Raw genomic sequence first — 26,047 nt, forward strand, 5'->3', positions numbered from 1 at the left:
ATACCTACTGTGTTATGAGGATTAGTTCAGAGCTGGAAACGTATGGTTTTCCAAAGTAACTGTTATAGCTGATAGATAGAGAGAGAGATAGATACATAAATAGTAGTTTTAATTAAGATAAAATTGTATTAGGTTGAAAAATAAGTTCTATAGAAAAGCAATCACTGGATGTTCTCACTTATAAGTGGGAGCTGAATAATGAAAACACATGGACACAGGGAAGGGAACAACACACACTGGTGCCTGCTGGGGTGGGGGTGCAGGGAAGGAGAGCATCAGGAAAAATAGCTAATGGATGCTGGGCTTAATACCTAGGTGATGGGTTGATTTGTGCAGCAAATCACCATGGCACGTGTTTAAGTATGTAACATCCTGCACATGTACTCCGGAACTAAAATAAAATAAAATAATTTCTAGGTTTCAATTATTTATAGCTTTAATAACTTTACTTTGATAGTGCCAATATGGAAAGACATGGAGCAAGCTATATTCTTCAGATGTGTAAACCAAGAGAAGCTCCCCAACATGCTAAAAATGGTAGCAAATTTGAAACAGTAGTTTTTAAGTAAGTCACACTTGCTTGACAGATGGCTTAGGCATTGGCCATGTTTAAGTTTAAACAATCCAATTTCAACCTGGCGGAATTGAAAATATAATAATAGAGCTGGCTGAGAAAATACAACATCCTCATTACATCATGAAAAACAACCCCTTTAGTTATAAAATAGATCCTTACTATTTCCTTTGAAAAAGGACAAAAAGAAGTAGAGCAGAGAACAACTAATTGGATTTTTGCACATGCCTTTGTTTATAACGTGAACAGTCGTTAAGCGGTTTCACAATTTTGCTCATGCAGAGTATTAAACGTGTTTCTTAAGTAAACTGGGGCAGCTGGGAAGGGAACTGCTACGTATATTTATACTCAAAGCTGGAAAACACATGATGTTCAAAATATAATGAAGTGTAATTTTTCTGCCTAGCTTTGAAAAGTTTTGGGACTAATACATGAAAAATTATGTTGATTCTTTTTCTGCCTATGAATGTAGAGTAATAGTATTGCACTTGACCAATCTATATGATTTTAAAGAGGGAATTGATGATTTTATGTAATAGAGCATCCTATATACTGTGCTTACAAGAGTCTCTTAGTGATTACAGATGTTTAGCATACTAGTGCAGTGGTCCTCAAACATTAGCATGCATCAGAATGATCTGTAAGGCAATGTATTGAAACACAGTTTTTATTGAAATATGCTGCTAGAGCCAGTAGATAATCACATACAAAATAATGCAGTTGTACCCTAACCTCAAATCATACACAAAAATTAACTCAAAATGAATTAGAGATTTAAGTATATGGGCCGAAACTAAAAAAAGTATTACATTTAGAATAAACTAGTGACTGTGGTTTAGACAATAGCTTCACAGATATGACACCAAAAGCATAAGCAGCAAAAGGCAGAATAGTTAAATTAAACAACAACAACAAAATTTAAACATTTGTATTTCAAAGGACACTATAAATAAAGTGAAAAGACAGCCAACAGAATGAGACAAGTTTTTGCAAATAATATATCTAAGGGACTTGTGCTAGAATAAATAACAATTATAATTCAATAATAAAAAGACATGTAACTCAATTACAAATAGGAAAATGACTTGAATACACATTTATCCAAAGAAGATACACAAATGGCCAGTAATCATATGAATATTTGACATTATTACACATCAGGGAAATGCTCTTCAAAACCATAATGAGAAATCGTTTTAAACCCACAAGGATGTTGAGAATCAAAAAGTCAGATAACAACAAGAATTGGCAGAAATATGGAGAAATCAGAACTCTCATACACTGACGGTGGAAAGTTTCTGTGGAAACTACAATGGTGCAGTTTCTATGGAAAACGGTTTCGCATTTCCTCAAAAGGTGAAACACAGAATTACCATATGATTCAGCAATTTCATGTTTAGATATATACCCAGGAGAAATGAAAATATATGTCCACACACAACTTGTACATAAATGCACATAGCAGCATTGCTCATAACAGCCAAAAAGTTGAAACAACCTAATCATCCCTCAATTGATGAACGGCTAAATAAAATGTGGTATATCCATATGATGGAATATTATTTGACAATTAAAAGAACTGAAGTACTTATTCATGCTGAAACATAGATGATCCTTGAAAATATTATGCTTAATGAAAAAAGTCAGTCACAAAAGACCACATATTGTATGGTTCCATTTATATTAACTGTCTAGAATAGGCAAATCTGTAGAGTCAGAAAGTAGATTTGTGTTTGCTTAGGTATGGATGGATCAAGAAATGAAGGTGTGATGGCTTAAGGCATGCAGAGTTGTTTTCAAGTAATAAAAATGTTCTAAAATTAACTGTAGTGGTGGTTGTACAATTTTGTGAATATACTAAAAGTCATTGAATTTTACACTTCAAGTGGAAAAATTGTATGGCATATTAAGTACATCTCAAGAAAGCTGTTAAAAAATACGCTGAGTGCTTGAGTTCACCTCTGTTACCTCTGCATTGGTATATGTGAGAGGGAAATTGAGACTTCACATGTCTGGCAAATTCCCAGGTTGTTACCACAGATGCTGATCCAGAAACCATACTTTGAGAACAACTGCAGTGGTGCTTTACAGCCTTGCCTGCTTATTAGAATCACTGAGAAGCCTGGAAAAAATCTGGATTCCTAGGACTACGACAGTCTCTCTGGCGTGAGGCCCACGTAACTTTCTAAAGCTCTCCAGGTGATTCAAACTAATGTTCAATAAAGTTTGGAACCTCTGACAAATAGGTTAACACTAATAGTTGTGGGAGGGGACAAGAGCCCTACTACAAGTAGGTGCTTTATACCTCTCAATATTCTAAGTAAGAGAATTAGCTTTAAGTGGAAGTTAAGAAAATAATTATCAATTCCAATACCATATTGACAAAAAAGTTGATCTTCCAATTCTCACAGCGAGCATCAAAATATCTCAAATCCATGAGAAGCAAGATTTCTCTGAAAAAAAAAAGAGAAAAATATCAAATTCAAATGAAATCCAACACATTCTTTTTTTTTTTTTTTTTGACAGTCTCTCTCTGTCACCCAGCCTGGAGTGCAGTGGTGCGATCTCGGCTCACTACAAGCTCCACCTCCCGGGTTCACGCCATTCTCCTGCCTCAGCCTCCTGAGTAGCTGAGACTACAGGCGCCCACCACCACACCCGGCTAATTTTTTTGTATTTTTAGTAGAGACGGGGTTTCACCGTGTTAGCCAGGATGGTCTTGGTCTCCTGACCTCGTGATCTGCCTGCCTCAGCCTCCCAAAGTGCTGGGATTACAGGCATGAGCCACCATGCCCAGCTGAAATCCAACATGTTCTTAAAGGTTCTCCATATTATTTTCATTGTATCTCAGGTATTTTTTCATAAATATCTAAGATCCTACAGAGACTTTTTCTCCCTATGTAAGTGCTCCTGCACCAGAACATTGTGTAATTCTGCTGATTTTTCCCCTCTTCTCATCATAAAAACAAATATACACCTCCTTCATTCACTAACAATGACAACAAGAAACAAAGCTGTTATTAAAAGTAATGGGAAAAATCACAATTACTTTTGAACCAATCTAATACTATCATGGCCATTATCATAATTTCCCAGATGTTCAACCCAGGTAAGTAGCACAAACAAAGGTTAGTCACGGTGTACAGGCAGGGACTCACTTGGTCTGGAAGTGGTAAGCTGGAAAGCCAGCTCAGGCAGCAACAAAATTCAAGAACATGGGCATGAGGTAGGGTTTGGCACTCAAAGCTAGCATAAAGGAACAGTCATGAAATGACATTTTGACATGCAGACTTTGAGCAAAACTAGGGCATAAACACTGATCCATGGGAGATTCTGCCAGCCCTCTGCTCTGGTTTAAGAAGCATTTCTCTTGTGGGTTACCAGGAATAAGCAAGACTCAGCTCTGTAGTTGCAGATGAGTGCAGTAGGAGGTCAAGTGCTCTGGAGAGTCCCCTGGTTTCCCAAAGCCCCTCTTAGCCCCACCTGAACCTGAAGTTTGAGTAAAAATGAGCTGGATGACGAGTGAAGATTAGAAAGGAGGGCCAGGGTGAGAGTGTATATAGTGTGGTTTGGCAATAAAGGAAGAGGTATAGGCAGACATGAGTCAAGAGAAAACATAGTAGTTTATAGCGGGGTGTCCAATCTTTTGGCTTCCCTGGGCCACATTGGAAGAAGAATTGCCTTAGGCCACACATAAAATACACTAACACTAATGATAGCTGATCAACTAAAGAAAAGAAAAAAAAAAAAAAATATATATATATATATATATATATATATATATATATATATATATAATCTCATAGTGTTTTAAGAAAGTTTAAGAATTTGTGTTAGGTTGTGTGGCCCGTGGGCAGCGGTTTGGACAAGCTTGTTTTATGGGGACAAACAGAAGTCCAGTTTTCCTGAAGTTTAGAATTCAGAGGGGCAATGGTCAGATACCCACACATGAGCCTCCATTAGATAATGGAACAGAGAATTATCCTCAAGCAGTTTTCTCCCAGTCATTACATTTTATCCTAAGTGATCTATCCTTATGACCAGTTTATAACACTTACTGTTTATATGCCATGATTTAATTGCCAATTATACAGTGCTTTTTTCTGATTATTTCATATATTCTCCTTATCTCTTTAATTAGTTTATAATCTAGCCAAGGATGGGAAAATTTTTCATATTTTTGCACAGAACTAATCTCAAGCCGGGCGAGGTGGCTCATGCCTGTAATCCCAGCACTTTGGGAGGCCGAGGCGGTGGATCACGAGGTCAGGAGATCGAGACTATCCTGGCTATCACGGTGAAACCCCATCTCTACTAAAAATACAAAAAATTAGCCGGGCTTGGCGGCGAGCGCCTGTAGTCCCAGCTACTTGGGAGGCCAAGGCAGGAGAATGGCATGAACCCGGGAGGCAGAGATCATGCCACTGCACTCCAGTCTGGGTGACAGAGTAAGACTCTGTCTCAAAAAAAAAAAAAAAAAAAAAAAGAACTAGTCTCAAAACTGAGCATATGAGAATTAATTTAAAAATTTTTTGAGCCTTCTCCTTCAGCCTCATGCAGACTATCCTCTAGTACTTTGCACTGTGACCTCCCTATCGCTCCTCTGGCTATATTTATTAAATAAGAGATGAGCACTTAAGCAGCTTAAGTAGGTGCTTTGTCTGAGGAATTGGAACAAAGACCAAGAGACAGCCAAAATTACGAATATATGTCAGGAATTGTAGCATGTAAAGTTGGGAGTATGGTATAGGCATACCTAGTAGGAAAAGGGAGAAATGGCTAAAGCCCATCTACAGAGAAAGAGAAGAGAAGGTGATGAACTTCTAGTTTAATTAGTTTTGTTTATAGATGTCCCATAAGATTGAGTTAAATTATTGCCTCGGGTCCTTGAACTGCTTCTTTAGCCTTGAAATAGACCCTGCCTCCTCACCCTCTCATACCCCATCTTAAAATTTGTTATTAAAAGCTAAGTTGATTTGGAACTCTTAGGCACTTTTGCCATAGGAAATGAGAAAATGGGACTGGATTACCTGGATGCTGTTTGAGATCCCAGGAAGCCATAGCCCATAATCAGTTAATAGATGGCCAAAGGTGTGGATCTGAGTCACTCACTTCTCAGACAACTCTATGAATATTTTGTCTCCATTCTACAATGAGGCTCATGAAATTTTCTCATAGTGAATACATTCAAATTCCCTTTTATGGCATCAATTGTAAGTGGAACATGGTGGGACTAATTGTTAAATCAACTCCTTTGGTGAAGTAAGAGCTGAGTCAGATCTTGGTCATGATTTGCGAACTTCACATCCTTTGTCTTCCCTCCAACAATTAAAATTTTTCCATCCATATTTTTTCAAAATTGAAAGTTAATATATTATCTGGAACTTTGTTATTGTATGTGATTTTGAAATTTTAATCTTATATTCATTCATTAACTCTCCCAATTTGCCAGGAACTGAGGGGATTCCTGAATGCAGGCCTTCTCAGGGACCTAGGAAGGTCCCTAAGGATTCAGGACAGCTGGTAACCCCAGGACTGGAGTAGCTGTCATCTGGTCCAGCCTTTCCATTTTATAGATAAAGTAACTCACTGGTTCTAGTGCTTAAGCATCTATAGCAGAAAAGCCTGGACTGATCTCAAGGCTCTCAATCTCTGGCTGACTGCTCCACGAATTCATTACATTGTACTTCTTGAGGCTAGATATGGACACCTTTGCACCCACTCATCACAGCTCCTCCCTCTACCAAATGCTTCCGTGATTATGCTCATTACATTGTTGTGGAATGGATGAAAGAAGAATCTTTAAGTAAATGGATTAAATGCTGTACTGTTAGTATGTATAAGCAGAATTTTCATTATAAAACACCAAATCTGCATGTAAATGGTATATGTCCATTTGAAGGTTAAAAACTAACAGATGTAACTAGTATCAGATCCATCTAGGTTTCTTGGGCCTGGACATTGTGTAGAAGAAATTTGAGGGAAATTCAGGGATTATATCACAAATTTAAATCTAGATTATTAGAAAAGTACAGTTTAGAGTTGTAAGAGTCCCAATAAAGGTGAAGTATGTAATACCCCTTTCAAATGGTTATCCAGTTTGTTCTTCAGTATTCATTGGAAAGCTTACCTCACCAACTTCCAGTGTAAAAATTCTATTTTGGGGTAATACATTGGGACATTTATTTTTTTCAACTGAATTTGTTTCTCTCCCTAAAGTTTCCATCCACTGACCCTTGAAGCAAAAGGTAATACATCTTATTTCTTCTCAGTACAAGACTTTAAATAGCTAAAACCACTAATTTTCATATTATTCTCAATGTTTAACTTCATTAATCTTTAATCCTAATTCAAGGAATATTATTTTATTTTCCTTTCCAACTCTTACTTTCATTTTTGAAACATATTCTAATGTGTACACAATACTTTTGAAATGTGCTCCTCATACCTCATGTCAGATTTACTCTGATCTTTCCTGATACAGTATTTTTTTTTTGTGAAATCTAAAACTAGATAGCTTTGTTTTGTAATCACACATATTGTTGATCTGTTGAGCTTACTATGAGGTGAAAACGTTAACAGTTTATTGGAAGGACAAGAATATTTATATAGACATGTTTCCTGCCTTTCTTTTCCTCCAGTTCTCCAAAGAAGATGATCTTTTCTTCTTATTCTTTTCTAAGGAACATCTTGCTTTGTTAGACAGGCTCTTCTTGTTTTGTGATGGTGAATCAGAGAGCAGGCAGCGAGTGCCAGGGCCAGGTGGGCAGTAAGAGGAGGTTACAAAACTTGGGGACAGAAGGTGGCATTTTACAGAATATAGAGGATGAGAAGAATAAGTAGGTATTAATAGTCTTAGCAGTGGGAGTAGAGAAGTGTGTTTCAGGGAGTCAACAGTGGGAGTAGAGGAGTATGCTTTAGGGAGTGAAGGTTTGGTACTGAAGCAATTGTGTGAGTGAGAACAAGTGAGTGGGGGAGGAAAAAATAAGTGGATCCTAAGAAGTATTGCTGGGGAGAATTGTTTATGACATTTAAGAAATACTACTAAAGGACTTTGGTTATATTGAAATTAATGGGGACTCTATTCTTGTGATTTGGATGTTACTCTAGTACTGACTCAGAAGGGTGAAGGCTTAAAAGAATTGCCTATGTATTTGCTGGGCACAGTGGCTCATGCCTGTAATCCCAGCACTTTGGGAGGCCAAGGCACGTGGATCACCTGAGGTCAGGAGTTCAATACCAGCCTGGCCAACATGGTGAAACCCCATTTCTACTAAAAATACAAAAATTAGCTAGCCATGGTGGCACATGCCTGTAATCCCAGCTACTCCGGAGACTGAGGCAGGAGAATCACTTGAACCTGAGAGGCAGAGGTTGCAGTGAGTCAAGATCATGCCACTGCGCTCCAGCCTGGGCAACAGAGCAAGACTCTGTCTCAAAAAAATAAAAAAAAAAAACAAAAAAAAGAATTGCTTATGTAATTAAACAATCCATGCTTTACAAAGTATAAATATACATGCTTTACAAAGCTATAAATACATATATTTGTGTCTTACCCAGAGAGGTTAGGTTACTTGCCCAAGCTTACACTGCCTCACTGTACTTTCAGAGCAACTCAGTGCGTGAGAATATGAGACCCTGATAGTGGAGGAACTATGCCCTGTGAATGATACTGGAGGGGTAAGTCTAGGCCCATTTCTGCTCACGGGAGCTGGCCTAGGAGGAAGCTGGGAGACCTCTGATGGGGCTTTCTTCTCTTACATCTTGGCTAGCCTTCTAATATGGGCTTTGCGTTAAGACAAACACGTTCACACATGCACATTCTCTATCCTGAAAGATTCCTTCCTTCCTTCCTTCCTTTCTCTTTTCTTTTTTTTCTTTTTTTTTCTTTCTTTTTTTTTTTTTTTTTTGATAGAGTCTTACTCTGTCACCCAGGCTGGAGTGCAATGGCACAATCTAGGCTCATTGCAAGCTCTGCCTCCCGGGTTCAAGTGATTCGCCTGCCTCAGCCTCCTGAGTAGCTGAGATTACAAGCACACACCACCACACCCAGCTAATTTTTGTGTTTTTTGTAGAGACGGGATTTCACCAGGTTGGCCAGGCTGGTCTCCAACTCCTGACCTCAGGTGATCCACCTGCCTCAGCCTCCCAAAGTGCTGGGATTACAGGCATGAGCCACTACGCCCAGACTCTCCTGTAGGATTTTGAGACTCTTAGTAAACATATGTTTTAAAAGATATGTAATGGAATAGAAAATATCCTGTCAAATATGATTATTTTAAGAAATTATTAATGTTTGGAATCTTTTATCTGTGAAGACCATCCTCTTTTCCTTGCTTCCTTTCACATTTCAAAGCCTCTTGAAGATGATGAGAATTCAAAGCTATGGTTTATACATAGAATAAGCATGAAATATATGTGAACAAGGTATAAAGATGTGAAATAGGTATAATCATATGTGAAATAGGTATAAAGATGATAAATACTACATGACATGTAAATTAGTAAAATGATGAGTACAGTGGTTTTCCTCAAGTGCTTGAAGGCATTTCTCTGAAAGGAAGGGGGAAAATTGGCAAGCTGATTTCATCTTGAAAAAGCTTTCTAAGAAGTTTAACTCGCAGAGACGCAAAGAGATTACAGAAGCACATGAACTATGCCTGACCTCACCTTCCATTACTGCCTAAGTTACTGACTGTTGGTTGACCAGTGGGTCACTATGGGAGAAGAAAAGCACTGATGAAAGGGTCAGAGGTCATTCTCCTGTTATTTTGCTTGCATGTTAAATTAATATCTAAACTGACTTTGCACAGGAACACAGCAAGGTCCGCTGAACTCTATAAGTTCTTAATTTAGAACCCATATTTTGCAAAAGTCTTGTGGATTAATTTTTTTTGCTGTTCCCTATATTTGTTACATTGGTTGTTTGTAAAGAAAAATTATTTTATCTAGTAAAGTTATTTTTAAATGAGTATTAGAAGACCCGAAAAAAGTGAGGTGTGGATGTGTGTGGCAAGTTCACTTTTTAAATGAAGAAAACAGAGAAAACAAAAATACTGTAGGAGGGGCTATATTTATGGTTGGTATTTGTTGTTGTTGTTTATTTTTCAGAAGCAGAAGCTCCTTCTCAGATTGGGAGAGATGGAAGGATTTTCCTTTTCTGGTTTTGAGGTTGAATAAATAACAATGCAAATAAATAATACTGAAAATAACTAGGGATTTTGAGGGAATGAGGCAATTAAGGCTTCAGTAGTAGAGTTTCAAAAGGACTCAAGAAATAGATAATTACAAAGTTTTGCTGACAAAGGAACATCAAATTGAGAGTATTTGTCTGGCAGTCATTCATTCACTCGTTCACTCACCTATTCAGCTCCTTTTAAAAGCCAGTCCTGGTCAAACCTTCCTTGTTCTACACAGGAGGAAATCAAGTTACCAGGAAGTCAACTACAAGCATGATATATATATATATATATACACAGTTAATGTTTAGAAAACTGTGTCCATTTTTGACTCTTGTACAATTTTGAATTCAGTTATGTATTATTATCGCCTCAGATTTAAAGATGAAGAAACCAAAGTTCCCAAGACTAGTGAGTTGACTGAAATAATGCAGCTGCTAAGAAAAAAAGCTGAGATTAAACTAAGGATTGATGACACCATTCACTTCTTTATCATTTATTAAATTTTTATTGTGGGTTTACTACATGTCAAAGCACAGAACATACAAAGATGAGTAAAATGCATTTCCCACCTTCAAGAAGCTAAAAGGAGTTAAGGACCTGTTAATAGAAAATATCACTTAGTGTGGTAAATTGTTCCACAGAGCTAGGCAGTGCTTTGGAGGACAAAGGATCGAGAGGCCAGGAAAGGATCCTCAGAAATGGAAGTGACAACTGCACCAAGAAGTGAAGGCTGAGCAAGAGATAACTAGTTTGCATGTGAGGGGAGGGATGTGGAGCATCTGTGAGTGGCTGTTGGACAGTGTTCAGGAAGAAGGGCTAGCACACGGAAAGGGCTGGAAGCAAGTGAGAACAAGGCCCAATTTGTGAGGGAGAGAGGGACTTGAGACAATTCAATATGGCTGGAGCATACAGTTGGAGGTGAGAGGAGTTAAAAGATATGGCTTAAGGTAATTAGAGTCCTTGAATTTTATTGAGACCCTTAACCCGTGTTAGAAAGTTTTTACATTATTCTATATGAGGATGGTTAAAAATTGAAACATTTTAAACAGGGGGTGATATGATAAGAATATATTACTGAGATCTCTTGTGATGTGGCACTGAAAATTGATCATGTAACTGGTTATTGCAGAACCTAAGCTAGACCACAACATAGTTGTAGGAATCAGAAAATTGGAGACATATAAAATAAAATTAGATTATCAAAATGGCATGACTGTAAGATTGATCTGATATGGAAAGCATAGGAGAATAATCAAAGATAACAGTTTTCTGACTAGGAGAACCAAATATTTTCTGAATTGGTCTGTCTCTTCATTCCTATGTGCCCTCCTCATCCAAGCTACCTCCACCTATCTCTGGACTCCTGTAGGAATAGCTTCCTGTTTGGTCTCCTTATACCATTTTTCCTTCTGTTTAATCTTTTCACTTTAGCCAGAGTGAACTTTTAAAAACATCTTATCATACCAGTACCTCTTCATAACTCTTCAATGGGTTCCTTTTGTCCTTAATGTAAAGACCAAACTCTTTAAGAGGCTTGCAAGGTTAAGCACAGTATCTCTCCAGATGAAATACCAATTATCTCCTTCTCTCTCTCTCTCACTTAATATGCTTTAGCCAGAAAGACCCTCCTTCAATTGCTAAAATATGCCAAAGGTTGTCCAACCTTAATCTAGTTCTGGCAGTGCAGTTTGGAAGGAAATTATGTCAATGGCGCTTGGCCTTTGAGTCTTCAATTCTTTCTAGTCTTCATTGAAATCTCTACCAAACTGACGTTTACTTGCTTCGGGCTCTTGTGTAACACTCTTAAATTTTAGATTTTTAAACACTGTTGGCTTCCTGGTAAGAAGTGAGATGGCAGGACCCCAGGCGATCTCATGCACTTCAGCAGTAGAGAAACTATTAAATTACATTCATCTAATTTAAAGACAAAGATCTAGGGTCTTTAACTTGCTCATCATATTTGAGAAGTTTCAAGATTCTTCAAATTATAGGGAAACTTCTTGTCACCATTAGTATAATCAAGCTATGAAATATGTGAAAAACAAAAATTCAGTTTTGGTTATCCTCAAAATAGTTTCTGAAGTCATAAAAACATATTCCTCTCCAATCAATCACCTTTTTATCTCTCTTTTTACACTTACTAATACTTCTTGCTTAGAGGTCTAGTTTCTCTTTTTTTTCTTTTTTTGAGACCTAATCTCACTCTCTCTCCCAGGCTGGAGTGCAATGGCGCGATCTCAGCTCACTGCAAGCTCCGCCTCCAGGGTTCACGCCATTCTCCTGCCTCAGCCTCCCGAGTAGCTGGGACTACAAGTGTCCGCCACCTCGCCTGGCTAATTTTTTGTATTTTTAGTACAGATGGGGTTTCACAGTGTTAGCCAGTATGGTATCAATCTCCTTACCTTGTGATCCGCCCGCCTTGGCCTCCCAAAGTGCTGGGATTACAGGCTTGAGCCACTGCACCCAGCCTCAGAGGTCTAGTTTTTCTATAACAAGAATCAGTATGTACAGCATTGGATCCCACTAATCAGAAAAAGAATAAAAGGATAAATACATCAGGGTCCATATTTTGGCATTACGTAAGGAGGTACAGTCATCCCTCTATATACTCGGGCGATTGGTTCCAGGATCGCTGCATGTACCCAAATTCTCCTGTACTCAATTTGGCTTCCTTATATAATCCTATTTTGACTAAATGGACATATCTGGTCAATTTGCATCCATGGAATAATAGCCTTAATATTTATGTAAACTTTCACTAAATCCGAAAATACTAAATTGACATGTAAAGAACAAGTCAAGCATCCTTTTGTACCAGCAAAAAAATGTGGCTTGAGGAAAATAAAAATATTCTAAATTTTATGCTCTGTTTAAGAAGGCAAATAGAAAGTAATATTTTTAGAATAAAAATCCTTAAAAGTAAGGGAAAAAAATCATAGAAATCACCTTATTTGCCAATATTCCTTGGAAAACTTATTTGAAAATCTGAGGTAGTAGTAAGTGTCCAGAAACATTTTATTTTTCATTAAATCTTGTTTTCCTTCATGTACATTAATACTCCATGTACAGTATTAAATAGCATCTCCATGCTCTGATTATATATTTAGTCTGCTGATTTCAGAACCAAAAATTTTAAAAATATCTTCCCTTGGCATACTCTCCCTGAAAGTTTATTATTTCTTCTCTCTTCCACTTTCTTCATTTGTATATTTTTCCTTGGCTTGGCTTCCTGGCAAATTCCTTTTCCTTGCTTTTTGCCTCATCTTGCCTTATTTGAGGTAAAATAATAGTCCTCATGGAGCAAATGGTAAAATTGTATGTAGATGTAGGATTTGGACAAAAACCTACAATGAAAAATGACCTACCACATAATAATAGCAAAGGGTTATACAACACATTTATTTTCCATGAGGAGTGCTTTGTTATTCTATTTTTATCAGTTCAGTAATCTGTGATGATAAATAGGGTAATTATATTAAAATTACCACTCATCGGAAGTACTCTGCTCAACCTCACCACCTCCCTCCCTCACCCATTGCTTTTTTTCCAAAAGACTTGTGATGGGGTATAGATTACTTAGAAGCACATTATTTAGCTTCAAGGATATAGACAGAAAATGATCGAGAATCCCTACACCTCTCGAGTTTTAAAATGTCACACTTTCACTATATGAAGTGATATTGTTTAGACTCCTGTGTTACATTAATGAGGAAAGCAAAAGAGAAAATTTGATATGAAACTTTCTGGGTAAACTGCTGTGATGTGATAAGCATGAAGTTTCTACAAGTTCATCCTCCAAGGATCACAGGGTGAGGGTGGCATGGAGATATGTGAAGATGCTCATATAGGATTTATTCCCTCTGGACATGCTCGTAACTTTGCCTTTGTGGCTATCACCCTTCCCCACACCCTCTTCCTGGGTTTTGGTTGGTAAATTTGTTCTTTTTTTAAGAGTAAATAATATTCAATTTTGAAATATTCTTTTTTAAAAATATTTTATTTTTGGTTTGGGGTAACATGTGCAGGTTTGTTATATCGTTAAACTTGTGTCACAGGGGTTTGTTGTACAGATTATTTCATCACCCTGGTACTAGGCCTGGTACCCAATAGTTACTTTTTCTGCACTTCTCCCTCCTCCCACCATCCACCCTCAAGTAGGCCACAGTGTCTGTTGTTCTCTTGTGTTCATGTATTGTCATCATTTAGCTCCCACTTATGAGTGAGAACATGTAGTATTTGGTTTTTTCTTCCTGCGTTAGTTTGCTAAGGGTAATGGCCTCCAGCTCCATTCATATTTCTGCAAAGGACATAATCTTCTTCTTTTTTATGGCTGCATAGTATTCCAGGGTTTATATGTACCTCATTTTCTTCATCTAGTCTACCATTGATGGGCATTTAGGTTGATTCCATGTCTTTGCTGTTGTGAAGAGTGCTGCAATGAACGTACAAGTGCATGTGTCTTTATGATATAACAACTTGTATTCTTTTGGGTAGATACTCAGTAAGGGATTGCTGGATCAAATGGTCATTCTGTTTTCAGCTATTTGAGGAATTGCCACATTGCCTTCCAGAATGGCTGAACTAGGTAAATTCTTTCTTTATCTTCAAGAGTTCTATGGTTTGAATGTTCCCTCCAAAACTCATGTTGAAATTTAATTGCCATTGTAGCAGTATTAGGTGATGGGACCATTAAAAGGTGGTTAAGTCATGGGAGAATCTGTCCCCATGAATAGATTAATGCTGTTATCTTGAGAGTGAGTTTGTCATAAAAATGAGCTCTCTCCCATGCATTCTCTTTCCATGTGATGTCTTCTGCCAGGTCCTGATGCAGCAAGAAGACCCTCACGTGATGCTGCCAACTTAATATTGAACTTCCCAGCCTCCAGAAATGTAAAAAATAAATTTATTTTATTCATAAATTATCCCATCTGCTATAGCAGTGGAAAGTGGACTGAGACAGACAACTATATCAAAGACTTCAGAGATGCCTTCCCTGACAACTTCCTTTCAATCTAAGTAGGCACCCCTATGGGGTGTATTTTATCCTTACTGTCATACCATGTTGTGCATACTTTATTACTGCTCTTACTCATTGCTTTTCTTGCCTGACTTCTGAGTTATTTGAGGATAGGGAGAATGTATTTCAAGCATTATGTCTTCAGGTACCTCAGACCCAATCTGTGCTTAAAAATTATGTTGACTGAATGATGAAGTATATACTTATGAGGGAAGGTATAAAGAAAAGAAGCTGCACTTAAAAGCTATTTCTGAATTATTTGACGAAAGTATTATTTGACATAACGGTACTAACAGGTATGTTTTTCATATGTGTTTATTTTTTAAAAAACAGTTGAAAATTGAGATGTTATGTAGATTATATTGCCTTTTTTGGGAAGGAGGTGTTAAGACAATGTAAGTGAAAGGAACAATAACTTTAAATTTTATAAAAACAAAGTCTAGGGATTAGTGACATGCCTCAATGCAGTATTGCTACAGTGCCTTTGGCTTTTGAAACCATCTTTCCAGCCATTTGATTCTAAGATACTTTAAATTCACGATCTCATGTGTAGCAGGGTTCTTTTTCAGAGTGTTTTATATACTTCTAATTGACCTCCACTGTCCTCAGTGCAGAAAAACTGAGGTCAGGGATACATAATGGTCCAATTCCGATGAGAGGCATCATAATTTAGTCTGGAGAGCCTGATCCTGGTGTCTTTTCCGTGTTAGTGGTTGTGGGTATTACGTGTAACTGTGTTATGATAAAAACAAGACTGTGGCACCGCTGAATTAATTAGACAAGAGTATAACTAAAAAGGAAAGCTCTTCAGCTTTGTAACTGCTAATGGTAGAAAATGAAGTACAATTAGTACACACCAAGCTTTGATGAGCTTTGCTTTTGATTAATTAGCAGATTTTAAAGTCTTCTATAATGTGACAGCTATTCTATTGATCCCCCTAATTAAGAATCATGAAAGTAAAAGGGACTCTTCTTCACTTTGATGACTGATTCCACTTGAATCATCCAAACTGCTCCGATGGCTGTACTGAATAATATTGGCCATGTTACATGTGCTATTCAATATGTGTGTATACATTCTTGTGAGGTATGTCTATTCAATTTTTTATTTTACTTTTATTTGGATATTAGGTGGAGACAAATAGGGTGAAATTACTGGGAAGGGGCAATAACTTTAAACTTACTTTAAATGCCCCATCAAATGCCATGCAAAGAGTAGATTTTAATTATTTATTACTATTGACAACCCATTTGACTTATCACATTTATTCACTGGATGCTTATTCCAGCATGAGGCACTGTGAAAAACACTGACACGTTGTATTAAAATTTGCAATAGCTGGGTATGTGATATTTCTCAAACAAATCTATGCTGTAATAAGAGTTCACATAATTGCATGTACTCTTTTAGCCTCGATATAAGACATAGAGAAATAATAAAAGAAAACATGGGGAGTCACAAGTCAACCATGTGTGACAGTCAGGGCCTGTCTTTTCACAAAGGTAGCAACATCAGATGCTAGAAAAAAGTGATGAGAAATTATCTAGCTGGGAGAGTTCTCAACAAAACATGGGATCTGTTCTACATGAAGATAACTCTGGGCCTCAGCCTGCCATGTGGTGTTGATTATCCTTAGGCAGGGACACCAGAAGTTCTGTAATTATTTCCATTTTGGAAAGGTAGAACTCAAGGTAGAAAAGGGTGTTCAAAATGATGGGCAGCTACGAATATCTGTGTCTTCCCATAAACCTCTGGATAACTTTCTTTCCTTCCTTCCTTCCTTCCTTCCTACCCTCCCTGCCTCTCTCCCTCCCCCCGCCCATGCCTCCCTTGCTCCTTCACTCCCTTTACTCTATCTTTTGTTCTTTCTTTACTTCTCTCTTAATTATTTCTTTCCTTTCTCTGTCTTGTGCTCAGTCATATTAATTGGTGTCCTTGTGAAACCATATGAAAATGTTGCAATATAGAGAATGATAAAATGGCATAAGAGAGTATAATATTAAATTTAAGCATTTTAGAAATTGAGACATCTGTGGATTGGTTTAAATTTTATAAAGGAAAAATTAAATGAAGTCTGATTACCCTTCTAGCGGTTAAATGTTTATTTTTCATAAAGTAAGTATTATCTTGGTGAAAGCAAATAAATTATTCATAGTGGTTGTTCTAATTCTTCTGAAAACGTCATGGGCAATTCGTGTTTTGTATAACTGCAAATACCCCATTTGTTACTTTAAAGACTTAAGAAAATGTTGGCCTAGCAGTTCTGACAAGGCAGAGACTATTAACTCAATTTCTGTCTTACACCCACTTGAGAGCAAGTAATATTTTACTCTTTTCAGTGAATAATATTTTCTCATATATATTTTTAAATGTATAAATGAAATGCCAGGCTGCTGCTTTGAATCAGTGGCAAAGAAATTTTAGATATAGAATTTTTAAAAAGCTCTAACATCTGGTAAGTCGGTTGAAGGAAAATATAAATTCCCCCTTTTTAAATAAAATATCACCAGTTTCTGTTTTTCCTGTTTTCATGACAATATGGAATGTAATATAGTTTTCAATATAGTAGATTCTTAAAATTTTAGACATACAAAACATGGTAAACTATAAAAACATAAGACTTTTCCTTTCTTTTCTTTTTCCTTTTTGTTGCTCAAAAGTAAAAATATATCATTATCAAAATGGGGACAGGGCCACGTTAATTATTAATTTGTATCCTGCTATGGGTAAGCTGTACAATTTTATGAAACTACAGATCAGGAATAAAATATTGTATGCTGTTCAATATAGTAGTGGGATACAATACTTTCAGTGTACAAAGCTAGAAATTTCTCAAGACTGTATATAATAATGTTTGGTACTGTTTAAATTATGAATAATGAAGAAGGAGTCAAGTTTTGTTAACAAAAAAAGCAACCATGTCTCCTTTGAGAAATATTTTTTATTTTCAAAAATTCACTTTCCTCTCTTCCTTTAACAATTATATCCATGGAAAGACTTCTGAACATTTTAAATATGGTTCTTTTGAATATTTATTTGAAACTACAATCTAAGTGAAGACAATGAACCCTAAATTATTGCTAATGACTTATTTCCCCCAGTTGCAGGGACTTTATTCGGAGAAATAGCAAATGAGTTTTGAAAATCACAGTCTATTTCCAAGTCGAGCAACTAAGCAGAACAAAGCTCAGATGTGAAGCCAGGAGTCACCAAAACCCAGGGCGCTGGCTCTGCCCAGGAGTGTCTGCTTCTTTATGCTCTAGGATTTCCTCCTTCTGCGGCCACACCCTGAGACCATTTTCCAGGGAGCCAGGATGCATGTGTGAGCTCCACCTTTGACCCTATCCTGACTCTTTTCCTCTTATTTCTCTCTCCTGCAATTGCTAGGGGGATTGAGCTTATGCCCTGATTTTTTCCCTCTCCTCCTCCTCCTCCTCCTCTTCCTCCTCCTCCTCCTCCTCTTCCTCCTCCTCCTCCTCCTTCCTCTTTGCTGGGTCCTTTACTTCATCATGGCAAGCAGCCCAGGTCTTGGGGAGTAGGGAGCTTTTGCCTCTCTTTGAGCTTCTGGACTTAGATTTCTGACAGCTGCCCTGCTACCGCACCCCAGCACATATAAATTAGAGTTGTCCTTTCTCTTTTTAATCTTACCTCTGTGTGGTGAGGAGAAGGTAGCTGTTCTGCACTGCCTAAGTGTTAATTGACAGAGTAAATAGTTTTTGTTTCTGTTTTTCGTGTTTTCATGAAACACAAAAACTTTTGGAGGAGGGAACTTTATATGGATATGAATTTGGACAGTGTTTCTGAGCACCACCATCTTGCCAGAGCACAGTGTTTAATAATCCATAGTCTCTATGTTTTTATGGGGCCCATAGTTAGGTATGTGGTTGACTCAGGTGATTCTTCCTCTGATCTTTAGTCTATTAAACTTGACAACAGCCAGAATCATGTTTCTGAACTTCAAAGCAATGATAAAAGAGAATAATTTGGATTTACAAGATTTCTTGTTCCATACAAGATTAATGTTAATATTTTTCCATATTGTGAGAATAGGTCATAATATACCTGTTCAGTTAATTTCTAAGCAAGACCCTCGAGAAAGATTTACTGCCTGTCCTTGCTAGTGGAGGGCCAAGACATCTGAGGCACCATATTAAGCTGGGGGGCTCCTACTAATTTAGCTCATTGATGAGCTTTACTTTAGTGAAGGGATTCATCTCTGCCAGCTAGTGCTTTGCACATATGTAACAGGTTTTGGGAGTGGTTTGCATGGTGTACATACGGGTCAGTCTCCTAATACCTGAATTTTGTGTCGCAAATACAATTCATGTTGTTTTAGAACTCTGAATGTAGGAAAGATAAGAGTGAAATTTGTCTAAGGCTGATCTCCTGCAAGCTGATCCCTTAGAAAGAACTGCTTCTTGCAAAGTACCATGGAAAGCAGTTATGACTTTATGTTTCTGGTACTAACAAGCTACTGAACTTGGAACCCAGCTTCCCCATCATGCCAAGGCAGGGGCTAGTGCATTCTTGACCAGAATCTTGGTGTGATGAATCCTACTATGACCTTCCTATGCCTTGTAGCTGTAATTTTAAGGCTTGGATGCCTGATTATATAAAGGCCTAGTATTCCGCCCCACAGAGCTGGACACAAGATTCTGCCATGTCACACAAGTCTTAAAAACCCCTCAGCACCACACATCTGGGGGACATCTGGCTTCCAGAGTCAGTTGTCTGATCCTGTGAGATGGCTGTGCATTGCCCCAGAATGTGATGGGGCGACGGTGACAGGGTTACCTGCTACTGATCCTGAATCCATAAGCTTTCTCTGGTGAACACTGCTCCAGAAGTCAGATATATGCCCTGTTTGGCTGATTCCCTTCTTTGCACAACGATATTCAGGTTGCTTTACCTCTTTGTTGTGTAAGATGTTGCTGAGATAAATTCAAATGGTGAATAGTTTCTTGAAAATGAAGCAGTTTGTTAAGTTCTTTCTCCAAGTGGTTAAGTGTCATTGAACTCAACCTATATGATACAGAATGTACTGGGTTTGTCTTATGGTAATAACAGATCTGCTTTTAATCTTGAGGGGGAAATATGACCTATTCCTTAATAATGATAATGAAAGATATATGTAGTAAGGGAAAATCTAAAAGGTATTATGAGAGTCACACGGGGAAAAGAAATTACTTTTATTAGCAGTTTCTAATGAGGCTTTTTGATGGCTTTAAGGATGAATACAATTTATGTTCTTAAAGACCAACTAAATGTCGTTCTACCTGGGAGTGGGAAAGCAGAGGGAAATAAAGTAGAAAATGAGCTAGGCTGGAGTGGATGCTTATGGGACACATAGTAGAAAATTGATTTTGTAAGACAAGTAGCATCAAGACCATAGATTGCCTTGGATGACCAGCTAAATAATTTAAATTTCATTAGAATTAGTCTCCAGGATGATTAATCTGGCAGTGATGTGTAAAAGACTTTGGCTTCGGAAGATTTGTTCCAAGGCTGACGCAATCCAGGTGAAAGGTAGCAATCTGTCAGACCTCTTGGTTTGAACAGAGGAAAGCACTAACAGGGATCTAAAACTACATCTAAATCTAGAAAACTACATGGAGGGATATGAGAAGCATTGTTTGACGTAGTGAAGGAAATATATGAATAGGTTTTAACAGGGCAGCATAATAGTGGCCCTTTTCAGAGTTAATTCTACAAGGAGTATGAATACACTGCATACTAACAGTGTGTCTTGGTAAGCTGTCCTGACTTTGTGCTTATACAACTTGAATTTATGGTATTGAAAATTTACATAAATAAATGGGTCAACAAACTTGGTTGGACCCCCCGTCCCAGCCCCAGTGCACAGGCACTCATTACAGAATGACATCTGGCTTTGCAATTTTACTGATTATTATGAGTCTAGTTGCTTCCAAAAAGAATTTGATATACTTATGATTAAAGACAAGCACATGATTAAAATCAAGGTAAAGGCTCAAACAAAGTCACTGTGATTCAGAACAAAGTTTCTCTCTGTGTTTTCAGGTATCCAAGACAAACATTGTTATGATAAATTACAGACTTGTTAACAAATTGTTTGATACATTTTTTTTTTTCTGGTCCTTGGTGCTATGAGAAATATACTGCCCATTAAAAAGGCATATTTGAACAAAAATGGACAGTACTGTCAATCTAAGTTTCTCTAAAATGTAAAATGGATTTTCATGTAGTTACTTCGTATGATAATCCTTTATGAAAATCAGGGAAGAAAAGTGAATTATAATTCTGCAAAGCCACTTCTGTGAGAAATTAGAGTAGATAGTTCTTATATAAATTTTCTGGTGCTATGATTTGGTAAATGAATGAAGCTTAAGGATACTAGGAATGCTTGTCAAAATGTGATTCTCACTAGCATTGCTTATAATACATGATGAAAATAAGGACTTCTGTCCTGTTGAATTTGAATCTCTGAAATCTCACATATACACACTTTCTTTTTCTTTTTCTTTTTTTTTTTGAAATGGGGTCTTGCCCAGGCTGGAGGGCAATGGCATGATCTTGTCTTACTGCAACCTCCACCTCCCAGGTTCAAGTGATTCTCCTGCCTCAGCCTCCCGAGTAGCTGGGATTACAGGGGCCCACCACCACGCCCAGCTAATTTTTTGTATTTTTAGTAGAGACAGGGTTTCACCATCTTGTCCAGGCTGGTCTCGAATTCCTGACCTCGTGATCCACCTGCCTCGGACTCTGAAGGTACTGGAATTACAGGTGTGAGCCACCGCGCCTGGCCACATATACACGTTTTCAATATGACCCCCAGTGATGCGTGTGTGTGTGTGTGTATTTTGCATATTAACATTTAAGAGCCGCTGATCTTGAGAAATAATTGAACAGCTTGTCTCTTAATCTGCCTTGAATATGTATTCTCTTAACTGAGATTTTGACAGAAGCTATGAAATAGTGGGTCTATCAAAAGCTAACAAGTTTCTAAAATTCAGGTGCTCTCCACTGTTGACCAGAAGGAGATCTGTATGCTTTGGATGTCAGGTATATAGCTGGCAAAGCTGGCCTGCTTTGTTTGCTTGCTCAAGTGCATGCCATCTTTCCACTACTGACCATTGACCTCTGGGGTTTCTTATTATAACATTGCAGACTTCTCAGCTAGAGATGCTTTGGAAATAAAAGCAATATGTTTTACCTTTAATTATTGTATTATTAAAATTTGGGAGCACAAGAGTTTTCAAAGTGAAGAAGAAAGGACGCTTAACCTAAATTATTTCAAAGAAAAAGAGAGGCTTTACATTTGAAATGCTTATTTTCTTATGACAAATAATAGCAGTTGGTAACATGAGCAATGTCATGTACATATTACTGATAGATAATTCAGTCCTTTTCAAAAAATCTGTAGATAAGTTTGTTGATAATTATTAAATATTTAAACTATTTTTAAGTGAAATTTGCAAAGAAGGCTTTTTTTTTTTCCTGTTAATTTTAGCCTCTTATTAGAGACTACTGCCCTACTTTCCTGCCCTGGGTAGCTCTAGTCAACCTGGCAGTATCTTTGCATGAAACCCAAAGAAAAAGCAGCCTGTGCCAGATTCCCTGCTGCCTGCATTCAAAAGTTATCAGCTTTCCAGAAGAATTAAGGGCATTGAAGTCCCCTCCTCTGAGAACCATGTTATGGCTGAGGTCAGCTTTAACTTGTTCCTGGCTGAGAGAGAACAAGAGGCTTTCATCACACCATCCTGGATTTTACAGACAGGAAATGTTTAGAAGTATTAGAGACTTGTATTTTCTGTTACAATTAGGGACAATATTTAGCTTTGCTTATTTTCTTGCCACTTTGGTTCAACTTGGTTTCTCATATGTCTAGACATTGCTCAAAATCACTGTTTATTGTTTGAACAGAAATATCCTAACGTGTCTCATAAAATTTAGCTTTGATTTGGTCTGTCTAGAGATTCTGAATATAAGGATGCCTTTCTGTTTCTTTGCAAAAATCATTATTTAAAAGAGCACAGGGTTTAGGAAATCTGTATATAATTTCTGACTTGGTTAGAATCTTGCATGCAAGAAAACTGGGTTTTGTTTCCCTAGTAACACAAAGATCATATTTTAGTGGTCTAAAATAATTATTGATACTCCAGTGAGCAATTAACTCTTTGGCATGAATAGTATCAGGCTCAATAAATGTTATAAAATAGTATTTTTCTTCCATGGATTACAATTCATCAGATACATCAACCTTCTTATTTTTACACATGTTGGTAGCAGTAGCATGTAAGATATTTTTTCTTTTTGTTTTTTTTTTTTTTTGGAATGATGTAGTATTTCTTTTTTCTGAGAATGATGGGAGCTGTCATTTATTTTCATGGATATTCATTCTAAAGCCCTCCCTGGTGCTCACATCTTTTCATGCTGAATACAGAGGTTTAAAGGCTGCACTGTCTGTTTTAAAGTTTAAATTTATGTTGTAGTCACATATAATTGATAATAAGTTTTTTGTAAAGTATAAAGAAAATAAACCTCAGATTAAACAGACCAGAAATACATAAATGTTACAATCGTTAAACAATTTTACAAGCCCAGTTCAACATAGAATATATTGAGTTTAATGCCATGTAGCCTCCAGCAGGCATTAGGCACTTGGACCAGTGGGACAATACTTTTGCCTATGGCATTTTACAGCAGTCAGAATGATTTTCCTTAGATTATCTAATTTGACCCTCCTGAGATTAAAAAAAAAAAAAGTCCAATAAAATTGACCTTGAGGAACAAAGGCTAAGATGGTTAAGGATCCTGGTGGACAAGCAAGCAATTAAAAGTGCAGGGACAACAAGTTGGACCTCGGCCACAACTTATTAATTTCGTGACCTTGAGGAAAGTTATTTAACTACACTGTTTAAGTTGCTGTTTCTTTGTATAATAAATTGAAGCATAAGATTGTGAGAAGTAAATGTTCCAGGCATATTTGTGAATGAAGAAAAGAGTTCAATTGGATTCAAAGGGAGGAAAAGGATGCACTCAATGGCTCACATCAGCAACTGTAGGAAGGAGAGATTTGAGCTAGCTTTAGGGAGCCCTAGAAGTAAGGGCCGCTTAAACATACAACCCTGCCAGATTCCTTCTCTATCTCTTTTCCCTGCTTCTCTCTTTGTGTATGTGTCTCTGTGAGATAAAGGTTACAGTCGTTTACATACCAAGCATCACATTTTTACAGTTTTGCTATTAGAGAACAAAAAGTCTCCTTTCTTCTAGCCAGACTGAAAAACATGCATGAGAGTGTTCTGAACTAACTTCCTTCCTTCCTTCCCTCTCTTTCTTTCCTTTCCTTTTTCCTTTCCTTTCCTTTCCTTTCCTTTCCTTTCCTTTCCTTTCCTTTCCTTTCCTTTCCTTTCTCTCTCTCTCTCTCTCTCTCTCTCTCTCTTTCTTGGTGAGTGGCGTACATCACCAAGGTTCACCTACTGTACAGTTTAAATACCTTTCTGCAGGGTTCCAGAGATCCAAGACTGACACACCCACAGCAAACATATAATTAGAGAAGCATTTTTCAGAAGGAAGGCTATGAGACAGGGAGAGGTCAGTGTAACATTGTAAATAAATTAACGAATAAAAACCAGTAGAGAGGGTGAAGAGGTAGTGCCTGGTCTATAGAAAGCCCTTCATAAATGATGGGCTCCTTTTGTTGCTTAGTTGTCATTACTGTCACTAGTAGCATTGTCTCCTGTGTCCTTTCTGAAATGTATTTAGTGTCCTTTCTACTACAGCCCTCTGACACAAGGAAAAGTGGCTGCCAACACTTAGCATAATGGCCAAGTAGGTAAAGTTTGTCTTCTCCAATTTCTCTTTGTGATCTATCTGTCAAGGGTCACTCGCCTGGGCCTGCCTTCCTTCAACTATCCAACGGTGCAAAATTACTTCTCCCTCTGTGGTAGCTGATAAAACCAGTAACATTTAAATATGATTGATCCTACAAGCCCTTGATAAGATTATTTTCTATTCAAAAGAGAAGGCTACAAATCTTGATGAATCTTTGCTGAGGTTATGAGTCTGAATTGGAAATGTCAATCTTGGGCTTGGTGATTCTCCAGGTCTTTTGCCCACAGGGCACGCCACCTCCTTCCCACAGCACTGTCCATTCCTCTCCCCATATTTTGCCTTCCTTGCCCCAGTCCTTCTTCTCTCGTACCCTCAAAGCATCGGTAACTTACAAGTCACTTTCTGAAAGGTAAACATACATTACATACGAAATATATCTTTTTTGGATCTCTGGAAAGACATTCAAAAGATAAGTCCTATGGAAATAATATATATTAAGTCCAAACTACCTATGCATTAGGAGGTAATAGAGGCAAAATCTCATGTATCATACTGGGGAAATGAGACTAAGAGAACAAATCATTTCTCTCTCCACAGTTGGTTGTATATTCTGTGTAGCAATATTGTACTTCCGGAGTTACAAAGACTTCACAACTATGGAATCCATCCTCAAAGAGATTATAACTTTAGGAGGGGAGACAAAAATATTACAGAGATGAAGCTAAGGAACAATTCTGTAGCCTTTCAAAAAGAGAGGAAAGAACACTGGGGGGAGAAAATTACAGCCAGGGAAGGCTTTAAGAAGTATGTTAGTTATGAACCACTGGAGAAAAATTAGGAATTTTATCACAAAACCGAAATCTAAAATAAGTTCCTTGCTCTTCTTTTGTGTATTGATAATCCAACAAAGGAACATTAAGTTTCTATTCTCAATGGAATACTTGCTTATAAAAGTTGGCAGGGAGTGTATTCCGTTATCTAACTTACTTATCAGTATTTCTTCACTGCTTTTTAAAATTTCCCTATACTTTACTAATAACTTATTAACTTTCAGTGAGTTGAGTCACTGGTCCCCAGAGAGGAGATACCTACTAAAACCTCAGGAGGTTGGCTGAAGTGAGATATTCATTCAAATGCACTATCTCATAAAGTACTATCTCATAGACTTCTAGAGGCTTCTGATAACACTACATATAAATATGTCTGTATGAACAAGCAAAACCTGCTTGTAGGTCAAAAGTTATTTTAAGCTTTTTAATCTTTGAATTAAAGATTAGATTGTTGAAAGACCTGTAACCTATAGGCTCTAACAGCTGGCTTTGGATAGAAACAGGACCTTCAAGAAGATTAGTAAGAGAACTGACTATCTCTGACACCAACAAGAGCCTGTTTTTAAATGCTTTTTGTTTTTTAAAGTGAAATCACCACAGTGTCAGGTCTAGAGAGATCAGCCCTTATAT

General features: G+C 37.4%; 1 pseudogene, besides 2 other annotated features; it reads right to left on the reverse strand.

Annotated features, from left to right (window-relative positions):
• Window positions 17,912–18,206: a silencer, noted in NCBI's record as "tiled region #14677; K562 Repressive non-DNase unmatched - State 7:EnhWF". NCBI's record gives its function as "represses a minimal TATA promoter and a strong SV40 promoter by Sharpr-MPRA in K562 cells {active_cell/tissue: K562}" and the evidence as "EXISTENCE:reporter gene assay evidence [ECO:0000049][PMID:27701403]".
• RBMX2P4 (RBMX2 pseudogene 4) lies at window positions 18,412–18,988 on the reverse strand (annotated as a pseudogene).
• Window positions 19,499–20,698: an enhancer, noted in NCBI's record as "BRD4-independent group 4 enhancer chr7:12963056-12964255 (GRCh37/hg19 assembly coordinates)". NCBI's record gives its function as "activates an origin of replication core promoter dependent on BRD2, P300/CBP, MED14 and CDK7 cofactors, and independent of BRD4, by STARR-seq in HCT116 cells {active_cell/tissue: HCT116}" and the evidence as "EXISTENCE:reporter gene assay evidence [ECO:0000049][PMID:35650434]".

This window comes from Homo sapiens, chromosome 7 (genome assembly GCF_000001405.40).
Source record: "Homo sapiens chromosome 7, GRCh38.p14 Primary Assembly".
NCBI classification, from domain to species: domain Eukaryota; kingdom Metazoa; phylum Chordata; class Mammalia; order Primates; family Hominidae; genus Homo; species Homo sapiens.